Below are 12,090 nucleotides of genomic sequence, written 5' to 3'. Positions count from 1 at the left end.
AGAGCCGACCATGGTGGCACCCTGATCTTGGACATCTAGCCTCTAGAACTGGGAGAAATCAACGTGTGTTGTTTAAGCCACCCATTCTATGGCATTTTGTTAGAGCAGCCCACACTAAGACACTACCCCAGTCATAATGATATCCTCCTATGTTTGCTTCTAAATGCTTTCAAAGTTTTGCTTTTCAAACTAAATCTTTAATGAACCTGGATTTTATTTTTGGTACGGTGTGAACTAGGGATCTAGTTGTATTTACTTCCCATATGGATAATCAATTGTCCCAACATCGTTTTTAGAATATCCATCCTTTCCCCAATGATCTACAAGGCAACTTCTGTCTTATTTCAAGTTTCCGTGTGTCATGGATCTTTTGCTGGGCTCCCGTTCTCTTCCAGTGGTCAATTTGTACATCCCCCTCAACATTTAACTGTCCTGATTCCTATGACATTATCGTATGTACACAAATCTTAAACCTTCCATTACTCACTGACCTCTATGTCATTCATTTTTTTTTTTTTTTTGAGACGGTCTCACTCTGTCGCCCAGGCTGGAGTGCAGTGGCACAATCTTGGCTCACTGCAATCTCTGCCTCCCAGGTTCAAGTGATTCTCCTGCCTCAGCCTCCCAAGTAGCTGGGACTACAGGTGTGCGCCACCATACCCAGCTAATTTTTTTATATTTTTAGTAGAGAAAGGGTTTCACCATGTTGGCCAGGATAGTTTCAATCTCTTGACCTCATTATCCACCCGCCCCAGCCTCCCAAAGTGCTGGGATTACAGGGGTAAGCCACCGTGCCCGGCCTATGTCATTCTTATTCTTTAAAAATATATTCATTTGGGTTCTGCTTGAAGGAGAGCCTGAGTCAAGGATTTGGGTGCATGCATTTTTTTAGAAGATGATTCCAGGAAGCAAGGTAAGAGGGTGAGAAGTGAGATAGGGAAGGGAAGAAAGTCAATAGATGGTACATTAATGAGCAGGTTGCCACAAAAGGTAACTGGGGCTCAATCTCACTGGGCCCTTCAGTTATTCCAGCTGAGGGGTGGTGAAGCTGTGGTATTTATCCACCAACTCCCTTTCTTCATGGCTGTTTTAAAATGCACTCAAGATTTTCATTAGATATGGCAAGACACACAGATATGGAAATGACTGTCCTGAAGTAGAGTTTTTTATACTCAGAGGTCCCTAGAAACAAGAGACATGGCATGCCAGGCAGGGATACATGGGGAGGCACCAGGGTTGGTCAATAAGTAAAGGGAGCTGGGGGGAAATGTGGGCAAGAGCTTTATTTGTGGCATCCAAGAGAAAGGCAAGTCAAGCCAGGGTAAGCAGGCACAGGATTAGCTATTAATAGTTTAAATAATTTCACTTGGCTCCAGAGCATAGGGCTGTCCCTGGTTGTCTGGTTCATGGCCCTGGGATGACTAGGGTAGACGGACAATGGCCCAGTATAACAGTCTGATGAAGGAGGTGGCTGGGGGTGTGGGCTTCGGATTGGCTGGTTTGCGTATGGAAGGTGCATTTGCAGGTGAGTCCCTTACTGTCTCGGGGAATTGGCTAGCCCTGGGAGGAACAGTCTCTCCAGGATCAGCAAGGCCTCAGCTGTCAAAACATCAGGAAATTCAGGAAATGAAAAGGCATGATGAATACACTGAGGGTGCTCTTAAAAGCATCAGCTCCCTGGCATATATGTGGTTGGCAATGCCAAGGGGTATGGAGAGGGCACCAGCGGTGTCTGCACACTGTTCTTGGCCCCTCAATTACTACATGAATTTTAGAATCAGCCTGTCAAGTTCACAAAAAAATCTATTGGGATTTGTTTGAGAATTGCTTGAATTTATAGATTAATTTGGTGAGAAGTAATATGTTTATAGTATTGAGTCCTCCCATTCATAATATATATGGTCTATATTTCAATTTAGTCAGCTCTTCCTGAGTATTTTTGTATTTGTCTTAGGCCTTTTGTAGTGCTATAACAAAATACCAGAGACTGGGTAATTTACAAACAACAGAAGTTTATTTTCTCAGTTCTGGAGGTTGGGAAGTCCAAGATCAAGGCACCAGCAGGTACAGTGTCTAGTGAGGGCCTGGTATCTGCTTCCAAGATGGTGCCTTGAATGCTGGCTCCTCTGGAGGGGACAAATGCTATGTTCTCATGCAGCAGAAGGAACAGATAAACCCCCCACACAAGCCCTTTTATAAGACACTAATGTCATCTATGAGGACTTGCCATTATGACTTAATCACTCCTTAAAGGCCCTACCTCTTAATATTATCTTGGCAATTAAATTTTAACAAATGTGTTTTGGAAGACAGATTCAGACCATAGCAACACTCTTCATGAAAGGCCTTACGTATATTTTGCTAGATATATTCTAAGGTTTTTGTTACTATTGTGAATAGAATCTTTTTTTTTTTTGAGACAGAGTCTCGCTCTGTCACCCAGGCTGGAGTGCAGTGGTGCAATCTCCGCTCACTGCAAGCTCTGCCTCCTGGGTTCACACCATTCTCCTGCCTCAGCCTCCCAAGTAGCTGGAACTACAGGTACCCGCCACCATGCCCAGCTAATTTTTTTTTTTTTTTTTTTTGTATTTTTAGTAGAGACGAGGTTTCACCGTGTTAGCCAGGATGGTCTCGATCTCCTGACATCGTGATCCGCCCGCCTCAGCCTCCCAAAGGCCTGGGATTATAGGCGTGAGCCACCGTGCCCGGCCTAGAATCTCTTTTTCTATTTCATTTTCTAATTTGTTATTACTGATGTATAGGAATGCTAATAGGTTTTTTCTTTTTTAAAGATGATCTTGAATTCAACCTTGCTAACTCTTACTAGTCTTAACAATTTATCTGTATATTCTTTTGGATTTTCTGCATAGACAATCATACCTGCCTGCAAATACAGGTAGTTTTTTCTTTCCAATTTTAAAATTTTATTTCCTTCATTTCTATTATAGGTTGAATCACATACATTTCTGATGTTGGGCATCTCATAATCTTAAAAAAATGGCAATTTCATATGTATTAACCTAACACATTGCCTAGGACCTCCAGTGCCATGTTCAAAAGAAACAGTGATAGAAAGCACCCTTGTTTACGTCCTAACTTTGATGGAAATTGCTTCTAAAGTTTTACCATTAATTATGATAATTGCTACACATTAAGAAAGATAGGGCCAGGCATGGTGTTGCATGCCTGTAATCCCAGCACTTTGGAAGGCTGAGATGGGAAGATCGCTTGGGCCTGGGAGGTGAAGGTTGCAGTGAGCCAAGATCCCACCACTCCACTCAGGCCTGGGCAACAGTGAAACCCTGTCTCAAAAAAAAAACCTAACTTGCTAATAGTGAATTATCTGATGTTGACTCTGCCCTTACGTTATTGTAATGAAACCTAATTCATCATGATGCATTGTTTGTGTGTGTGTACATTGCTGTATTCAACTTGGTATTATTTAAAATTTTGGAATCCATGTTCATAAAAGTTAATAGCTAACATTTATTTGGTTTTCTAGGTTCTGGGTATTGTTAAGTTACTTTACATGAATTATTTCATTTTATCCTAAAAGGCTTATTGTGAAGGTTATTTTCCCCCTTTATATATGAGGAAGTTAAGGCACACTGAAGGCAAATCATTTTGCCTAAGGTCACAGAGAAGATTAGTGGCACCAGAATACAAATCCGGATGCCTGGCTCCAGAAGCAATGCACTGGCCACTGCTCTGTGCTGTCTCTCTGTGACAAAGACCCATAATTCAGATTGTTCTATAATGTGTTTTCCTTGTACATCCTTGTTCTAGTTTTGTACCAAGATTATATTATTCTCAATAGATAATTAGCTCTTCTTTTTATTTAAAGAAAATACATGTCAAAGCTCTATAAAAACCTATTTCATCGTATCCCCTTTGCTAGCCTAACTTTTACAGCTCTGCAGTGGCCTCCAGGTTTTATGTCCTTTCCAAGCTCCTGTCCTGGGTATATTGGGGATGTACACATCCGATAAAGCCAGGGATACAGACCACGGATCAGCAGCAGGCCTCCCGCTCCCAGCATCCTTTCAAGTACTGGCATACACCCAAGCTCCCAGCTTCTAGCCAAGAGTCTTTTGGTCCCCGCTTATCCCAAAGGACCTGCCACTGTCTTTGGTTTCCAAAGCCCAACAGGCTCCAGGCTCTTCAGCCTCCAACCACTTTGCATTTCTTTTCTGGTTTTGGTTCATGGAGATGATTATCCTATTTTCCAGCCTTGCCATGTCTTTATTTACTTTACATATCTTACCTATTACTGCTGCAGTTTGGAGAAGAGAGGATGCCCTCAATCCTAACTTCTCCAAAGCATCCCAAAGGGGAAGTCCGCTTCACTTCAACAGTGTTGTTGTTGTTGCTTTTAAAGACCATATGTCAACATGTCAGATTATAGCAAAATGACGTGGGGGGAGCAATATGAAAGCAAGACTGAGAGTCCTGGAGATAAGGTGGCAAAGCTGCCTTTTTACAGGCGGTTCCCTTAGACCCCGCCCTTCCTGTCTTGTTCCTCCAGTTGTCAGATTTGCCTGTTAGGGCCCACACAAGGGAGCAGGTATGAGGACCGGACTGAGAGAGTTGGAGAAGCTGCCAGAGGCCCTTCTAGATCCAGAATTGAGGCTGCAGTTCCCGAGGTGGGGGCTGTCCCCCCACCCGCAAGGGAATGGTACTGATTCCAAAAACGCGTCAAGGACACCCTGGCTAGTAGAGGGATGTGCTTGAATCACCTGAGCGGCCTCTGTTCAGCCCAGATTGGAAGGCCCATGGGGGAGGACGAGGCCAGCCCACTCCAGCCCCATTCCCTTTTAACTCTGCTCCTTCCCCAGCCCCCAAGCTGGGTGAGGGGCCCTGAGCTATTCACCCTCCCAGATTCCACTCACTTTTCCTAAGTGTCCTCCCTGCAAAGTCTGCAGAGAGCAGCGCTCCCTCGCGTCGGCTCACCCAGCAGTGTCCTTTCTTTCAGCAAACCCCATGCGAATGAACCTGAGATGACTCATTTGCCTAAAAGCGTCTTCGAGGTGAGGGAAGGCAAAGCCCAAGGACCTCCCCGCTCAAGCACATGCTCTTTCCCCAACAGTAGAGGGATCCTGCGCTAGCGTCCGCCGCCCTCGAGGGCTCAGTCTCCCCAGCTGTACCAAGGGTGCCCGCACTGTCCTGCCTGCCTTCCTTGGGGGAAGGTTGCGAGGCCCGAAGAGATAGGGAAGCCAGGCGGCAGGTGGGGTCCAGACCACCCAGGGGGCGTCGGGGCGGAGCAGCGGGCCCAGTACATCCCTGAGTGGGCGGGGCTCGGCGGGGCTCTCCGCGGGGTCCTAGTGAGCGCCGCCCCGCCAGCAAACCTCGGGGGCCAGGACCGGCGCTCACTCGACCGCGCGGCTCACGGGTGCCCTGTGACCCCACAGCGGAGCTCGCGGCGGCTGCCACCCGGCCCCGCCGGCCATGAGGCGCGCGCCTTCCCTGGTCCTTTTCTTCCTGGTCGCCCTTTGCGGGCGCGGTGAGTTCTTTTCGGGGAAGGAGGGAGGGGCGCCTGGGTTGGGCTGAAAGGGGCTGGACTGGCCACAGGTGGGAGGGAAGGGAGGGTGCCCTGCGCCCGGGGGAGTGGCCCGAGATTGTCCCGGCCAGATGGGGGCGTGGGCAGGGCTGAGCCCACTCGCTGAGGCAGCGGGGGCGGGCCTGCGTGGGTGGGTCTGCCAGGTTTGGAGTGGGGGCCGCCTCTTCTCGGAGCCGCTGCCAGGGCCAGGGCCACCCTCCAGGGCGAGTGTCTGTGGGCTGGGCAGTGGGCTGGATGACACCGGCTTTGCAGGCACCGCGGGTCATCCCCAGCAGTCTGGGAGGCTGGGAGTATACCGACTCCCGCTCCCAACAGGGCCGAGGCTCCTTCCTTGCCTAAGAGGTGACTTTCTTGAAGCGTGGGTGCAGAGGAGCCGGCCACCTGGGCGGTGTAGGCGCTTGGGAGCGAATCTGCTGCTCAGCCTTAGAGAGAAGTCCCCTCCCACACAGCGGTGGTAGAGATGGGGACACTGGGCCGAGAAGGAAGGGGGCTTGCCCAAATCAGCAGCCCTGGAATGTTTTGTGCTTTGGGGGTGGATCTCCCAGCAAACACATTTTATGGCACCGCTGCCTCTGGTCACCCACCCGAGGTGTGCCGGGCCTGGACAGCCAGCTTGACTGAGGGCCAGGCTGGTGAAGTTGGGCCTGCCACTCAGGAAGGAGACCCAGCCCTTCTCCAGGTAGAATGCAAATGTGAGGACTGCCTTCTCAGGGCCTCAGTTTCCCCACCTGAATTCCAAGGGCCCTTCTAGCTCCTACAGTCACCCAGGCTTTTCCTCCAAGCCCCAGTCAGCCTAGAGGACCAGGGCTACCTCTTCCTTGGATAGAGACCCACCATAGGGGAGGCAGGAGGTAGGAGTCAGGGAATATATAAGGAGCTAATAATCTGAGAGGAAGCCATAGCTGGAATTCTAAACTGTGAGTGTGTGTCCAGTTTGGGAAAGCATATCCAATCTAAAAATTTACATTGAAAAAATGGAAAGATATACCCATCATTTTGGAATACAAACTACAGAAAGTAGTTTGTACTACTCCTATAAAGAGGTGGAGCTCTCATCAAAGATGGTGTCTGCAGGCAGTCTGTGTATCGTGGCTCTTCTACTAGCTGGGTGACCCTGTGCCATTTCTTTCACCATCCTGGACCTCAGGTTCCCCATCTGTTCTATGGAGAGAATGTGCCCTGCCTACATATTTGGAGACTTGGATGTGTGTGGGGGCCAGTGGCAGTGTTTCTTAGGTGTGGTCCTGGGGCAGCCTGTATCACCCTGTACAGATTTCTGGGTCCCACCCTAGGCTTACAGGATCAGAATCTCTGGGAATAAAGCCTAGGAATCCAGGTGATTAATACACATGATTGAAGAAGCACTAATAGTATGTAATAAGCTCTTTATAAAAGATAAATTCTCTACATAAAGAAAAATCATAGGCCAGGCGCGGTGGCTCACACTTGTAATCCCAGCACTTTGGGAGGCAGAGGCGGGCGGATCACGAGGTCAGGAGATCGAGACCATCCTGGCTGATGTGGTGAAACCCCGTCTCTACTAAAAATACAAAAAATTAACCGGGCGTGGTAGCAGGCGCCTGTAGTCCCAGCTACTCGGGAGGCTGAGGTAGGAGAATGGCATGAACCCGGGAGGTGGAGGTTGCAGCAGTGAGCTGAGATCATGCCACTGCACTCCAGCCTGGGCGACAGATCAAGACTCCGTCTCAGAAAAAAGAAAATCATAGCTGCCTTTTAATATAAATATCATGTTCCCTTCCTCAGTTAAGGACATACACCCCAGTTGAAAAATCACTCTGCCTTTCCAGATGCAGAATCTAATCTTTCCAATAAGATTCTGTTAACTGTTACTTTCTGTAGTTTGTATTCCAAAACAATAGGTATATCTTTCCATTTTTTCAATACAAATTTTTAGATTGGATATACCTTTCCAAACTGGACACACACTCACACAGTTTAGAATTCCAGCTATGGCTTCCTCTCAGATTATTAGCCCCTTTCTGGCAGGGAACAATTCTTCCCAAGAAGGCCTGGAAGACAAAACCCTGGGCAGAGGCTGGTGGGGCCCACTCCTCATCAGAATCATTGAATCATGACTGACCCCTAGTGGCGGCTTCTCTGTTTAACTGTCAGCCCATGGGCTGGGATGTGACCCCTGACCGTGCTGCAGAAGCTTCCACCCATCCTGGGCCACCCCTGCCACCTGGGGGTGAAAGGCCTGTTCCTTGTCCTTTGAGCCCAGCAGGCCTCACAGACATTCAGTAGATTGGAAAGTCTAAGCATGTGCTGGGCTGGGCTGGGCTCCGTCGCCCCTTTTTGGGGGGCAAGTGGGGTGCATTCCAGTCCCCAGTATCCCTGCTGTTTATTCCCACCCTTCAGTGCACCACCCCCCCGGCCCCCCGGCCATACACTCACAAGTACAAACACAGGCGCAGTCATGGGCACACACTGCCCGGGACAGCACCATTTCCAGGCTCTGTGGGGCAGTCTCCTTACAGGGAAGCTAATGAGGCACTGAAGAAGGCTCAGGGGTCAGGGAAGACCTCTGTCGGAAAGAGGCTCCTATACCTGGTTCCTCCTCTGACTTGCTGGGGGCACTTGAGAAAGTTTCTTCCCTCTTTGGTCTCAGTTTCCCCAGCTGAGAAATAGGGGGTTGGGCTAAATGGTCTAAAGTTCTGGGAACCTCTAACTCAAGCCCACAGCTGGTGGTCAAGATGGGGGAGTCCCTCCGGGTCAGCTGAATGCCTGAGAGGCAGGACAGGCCCAAAGGTGAGCCACCCGGGCACATCAGGTGGGCTCGGAGCTGGAGCATGAGCCCCACAGCCTGCAGAGCAGCCCTGCGCTTGGGAGCCCTGTCAGACCAGCCTAGTGGGACTTCAGAGATGTGGGATCCAGCCTCCCCTAGTATTGCAGGGCTGGGGGATGGGAGCTGCAGATTCTGACCCCAGAGCTGCCTCAGACATGCCAGATGGGCTTGGGCAAGACACACCCCTCTCTATGAAATAAGTCAGTCCAAACAAACATGCTAAAGAAGGGCTGTGGGAGGGACCCAGCTCTAGCCTGGGGCTACAGACTGGCTTCCAGGGTACTCAAGCAGCTGGCCTCTGGGAAAGGGGTCCTGGATATAAGAAGCAGGGCTCAGAATCTAGGCCAAGCATCCATAGGACCCCCCTCTGGAGAGCCCAGGGCAGCCTGGGGGAGGGGCAGCAGGCAGCAGGTGCACTAGGAGCATCTTTCACAAGGCACTAAATATTGCATCTGTTCCAGATAGGCAGCGAGTTGGAAAGTGGATGAAGTCGGCAGGGTGGCGGCTGCTCCCCACAACCAGGAGTCCAGCCCAGCACCCACCCCTAAGTCCACCTCAGGCCTGCCTAATTGGGTTGGTCTGTGCTCTGGGCCTTCTGGCCCTACCCACAGAGGAAGGGGTTTGGTGCAACTAGGTGAACTGGCCCTTGCAGGAAGATGTAATCGACTCCTGAGCCTGGCGAGCCAGGCAGCCCCTCACCAGCATGCCCGCCCCCACCTCTCCGGCCCCTCTTATTCCCTGATCCTCCCACCTGCTTCCCTGCCCCGGCACTGTTTCTTCTGCTCATTCTCATCTCTTTTCCTCCTCCCAGGCTTGCCTCCTCAGATGTCCTTGAGTCTCCTCTGAGTCTCCCTTTTTCCAAGCTGCCCCCTCTATGCTTTACACATTCTCCCTGAAGACACTAGAGTACACAAGCCCAAGTCCCTGAACCTCACCTTTACTCCCAGACAGGTGAGGGAGATGACATAAAGACCCAAATGCCACTTGGCAAGGGATCGGGGGTATGCAGAGGGGCAGATTTGAGGCTATGGAAGGTCAGGGGGGCTCCCTGCATGAGGCGGTATTTAGGCTGGGTCTTGAATATGGCTCTGAGCTAAGACCTCTCCTCGAAGCTCCAGATGAGGAGCCAGCTGCCAGCTGGACCCCTCCATTTGGTGTCTCAGAGGGACCTTACACTCTGTAGGTCTAAGTCTGAACCCGGAAAATCCCCTCCATCTCAGCTCTGTTTCTTCTTAGGGAAAGCACCACCTCGTACCCATTTCTGCACCCAAACTCACATGTGAGTAATGGGGCTGCTCCCCTGCACTGTAAGTGCTCTGGTGTCAGGAACCGTTTCTGGTTTTTGCTTGCTGTTACCCTCGAAATGTAGTAAAGTCCCTGGCACAAGATAGACCCTCAGATAATTCATAACTGGTGGGCTGGGGGCAATCTTGGCAGAAGAAAGAGTCTGTTCAAAGAAGTGAGACAAGCTGGGTGTGGTGGTGCACACCTGTAGTCCCAGCTACTAAGGAGGCTGAGGTGGGAGGATCCTTTGAATCCAGGAGGAATCACTTGAAACCAGCCTGGGCAACATAGCAAGACCCTGTCTCTAAAAAAAAAAAAAGGAAAAAACAGGAAGTGAGACAGTGAAGGTCACAGGGGGAAAGGCAAACAGTAGGCTATGGCCAGAAGAGAGAGTATCTGAGTATCTGGGGTAGAGGTAGAGAGGTGGGAGAAAATCAGATTGAGAAAGATAAGCCAGTGTCAGTGGGGAAAGGGCCTTGAACGCCAAGCCAAAACATTTGATTTTTAAGTCCACCTACAGCTCTGAGAGTTGTGGGTAGGGAAGGGCCCTAGACCAGTTTGCTGTAGAAAGACCACTCTGGCACTGTATGGTACATGGATAGCAGGGAGAGACTGCGGGTGGAGAGACCAGGAGGAGGGCAGGGGTGGGGAGGTGGGGACATGGCTGTAGCAGTAGAGATAAGGAGAACAGACTGAGGGACTTGGAAGGTAAAAGATAGGACTAGGACCGGGAATGGTGGCTCACACCTGTAATCCCAGCACTTTGAGTGGCCAATGTGGGTGGATCACCTGAGGCCAGGAGTTCAAGAACAGCCTGGCCAATATGGTGAAACCCTGTCTCTACTAAAATACAAAAATTAGCCGGGTGTGGTGGCGCAGGCCTGTAATCCCAGCTACTCTGGAGGCTGAGACAGGAGAATTGCTTGAACTCAGGTGGCAGAGGTTGCAGTGAGCCGAGATCACACCACCGCACTCCAGCCTGGGCAACAGAGTGAGACTCTGTCTCATACAAAAAAAGACAGGACTAAGTGGCCACTTGGATGAACCAAGGGAGAGGTCAAGAAGAGACACCCAGCTTTTGTACCAGATATGTAGAGTGGGATGCCATTCACTGCTAGAGGGAAGAGGAGGAGGAAGAAGTATGGCATGGGAGGAGACAGCTGAGCTCTGTGTTGAGTGTATTTAATTTGAAGTCCTCAAGGAGAGACAGGCCTGCCAGCACCTTCGCTGCTTCAGCCAGCCCTAAGGGCACCTGTGCTCCCTCTCAGCTCTCCCTGCTGCCACAGGCTGCAGTGGGGGTCAGGTGCACAAGGGCCCAGCAGGTCTGACTGTGTGTTTTCTCAGGGAACTGCCGCGTGGCCAATGCGGAGGAAAAGCTGATGGACGACCTTCTGAACAAAACCCGTTACAATAACCTGATCCGCCCAGCCACCAGCTCCTCACAGCTCATCTCCATCAAGCTGCAGCTCTCCCTGGCCCAGCTTATCAGCGTGGTAGGTGCAGAGGGCAGCTGTGGCTCAGGCTCAGGTGGAGAGGCCGCTCATGCCCAAGCCCCAGGCGATCATTGGTCAAAGGAATGAAACTACTATAGTTGACTTAGACTTACCAGTACGTGTCAGGGAGGCTGCAGAAGGGTCCATGAAGTTCATAGGTGTCCAATATTTAATGAAGTCATGATTTTGTTCTAACAAAGAAGAAATGAGGGTAGGAGCAGGATGACCATTGGGTAGGCAGCCAATGGGCCTGCTGTAGACTCTGCTCAGCTGGGTCTCCAGCATGACCATAAGCTTCTCCTCCTTGTCTTTACAGCCCCACCCTATTCTCTCCCCTAGACTGCTCAGATAACCTTACATGCTTCTTACTTGTTGGGAGAAGTAAAAACCAGACTGGGGGAACTGATAGGTACAGAGAGGCCCAGGTGTAGGGGCAGGACCAGAGGCAGTGCAGCACCTATTGAGCCAGGCTGGTGAGGGATGGACAGTGGGCGTGGCTGCTGCAGGCATGGAAAGGAGGAGTGGATGGCAGCATTCACAGGTACCATTGTCAGGTTGTCCATATGTGGATGTGGGGCAGAGGTGGGGGTGCTGAGGGAGGAGGTGCCTGGGAATTTCTCTTCTCTTTGCTGCCTCTGAGTTGGAGATGTCAGAGGGAACCATGGCCTATTGTAAACCTTCCCATGTCCCCATCCACAGGGTTAGAACTCCGTCCCTGGAAGAAGCTCTGGGGGAACATTCACAAGGGGAGAGTGCAGGGCGCTGTGTCCAGCCAGGGGAAAGAGACCACCAAGGGGGCTGACCCTCCTCTGGCCAGGTAGCTGCCTTCTGAAATGCCAGACTCTCTCTCTAGCACGGTTGGCCCACACACACCCAGCCTGTCAAACCTACAGCCCTCAGGAAGGCTTTGGCCAAATTAATGACTGGCTCCATCTCCTGGGAGGACGCAC

At 50.7% G+C, this 12,090-nt stretch overlaps 1 protein-coding gene across 11 annotated transcripts in view, besides 2 other annotated features; it reads left to right on the top strand.

Moving 5' to 3' along the window:
* Positions 1-12,090, top strand: part of CHRNB4 (cholinergic receptor nicotinic beta 4 subunit) — a 37,531-nt gene that overhangs the window by 15,063 nt on the left and 10,378 nt on the right. For 5 of the 11 annotated variants that reach the window (NM_001256567.3, NM_000750.5, XM_017021889.3 and 2 more), the window contains exons 1-2: positions 5,369-5,500; positions 10,992-11,140. In NM_001256567.3, coding sequence (NP_001243496.1) covers positions 5,446-5,500; positions 10,992-11,140 — 204 coding nt within the window. In that variant the 5' untranslated portion in view covers positions 5,369-5,445. Of the gene's footprint in view, positions 1-5,368; positions 5,501-7,245; positions 9,315-9,385; positions 9,643-10,991; positions 11,141-11,472; positions 11,958-12,090 lie in introns of those variants that run through there. The other 6 variants (XM_011521187.3, XM_011521186.3, XM_017021886.2 and 3 more) reach the window with 5 other exon arrangements.
* Positions 5,391-5,450: a silencer, noted in NCBI's record as "silent region_6714". NCBI's record gives its function as "represses an Ori minimal core promoter by ATAC-STARR-seq in GM12878 lymphoblastoid cells {active_cell/tissue: GM12878}" and the evidence as "EXISTENCE:reporter gene assay evidence [ECO:0000049][PMID:35858748]".
* Positions 8,389-8,890: an enhancer, noted in NCBI's record as "H3K4me1 hESC enhancer chr15:78930031-78930532 (GRCh37/hg19 assembly coordinates)". NCBI's record gives its function as "activates a minimal SCP1, AML or CMV promoter by ChIP-STARR-seq in primed H9 embryonic stem cells {active_cell/tissue: H9 hESC(primed)}" and the evidence as "EXISTENCE:reporter gene assay evidence [ECO:0000049][PMID:30033119]".

Source organism: Homo sapiens, chromosome 15, assembly GCF_000001405.40.
Source record: "Homo sapiens chromosome 15, GRCh38.p14 Primary Assembly".
Taxonomy (NCBI): Eukaryota; Metazoa; Chordata; class Mammalia; order Primates; family Hominidae; genus Homo; species Homo sapiens.
The sequence above is the reverse complement of the archived record's forward strand: the minus strand, read 5'-3'. Positions and strand labels throughout refer to the sequence as shown.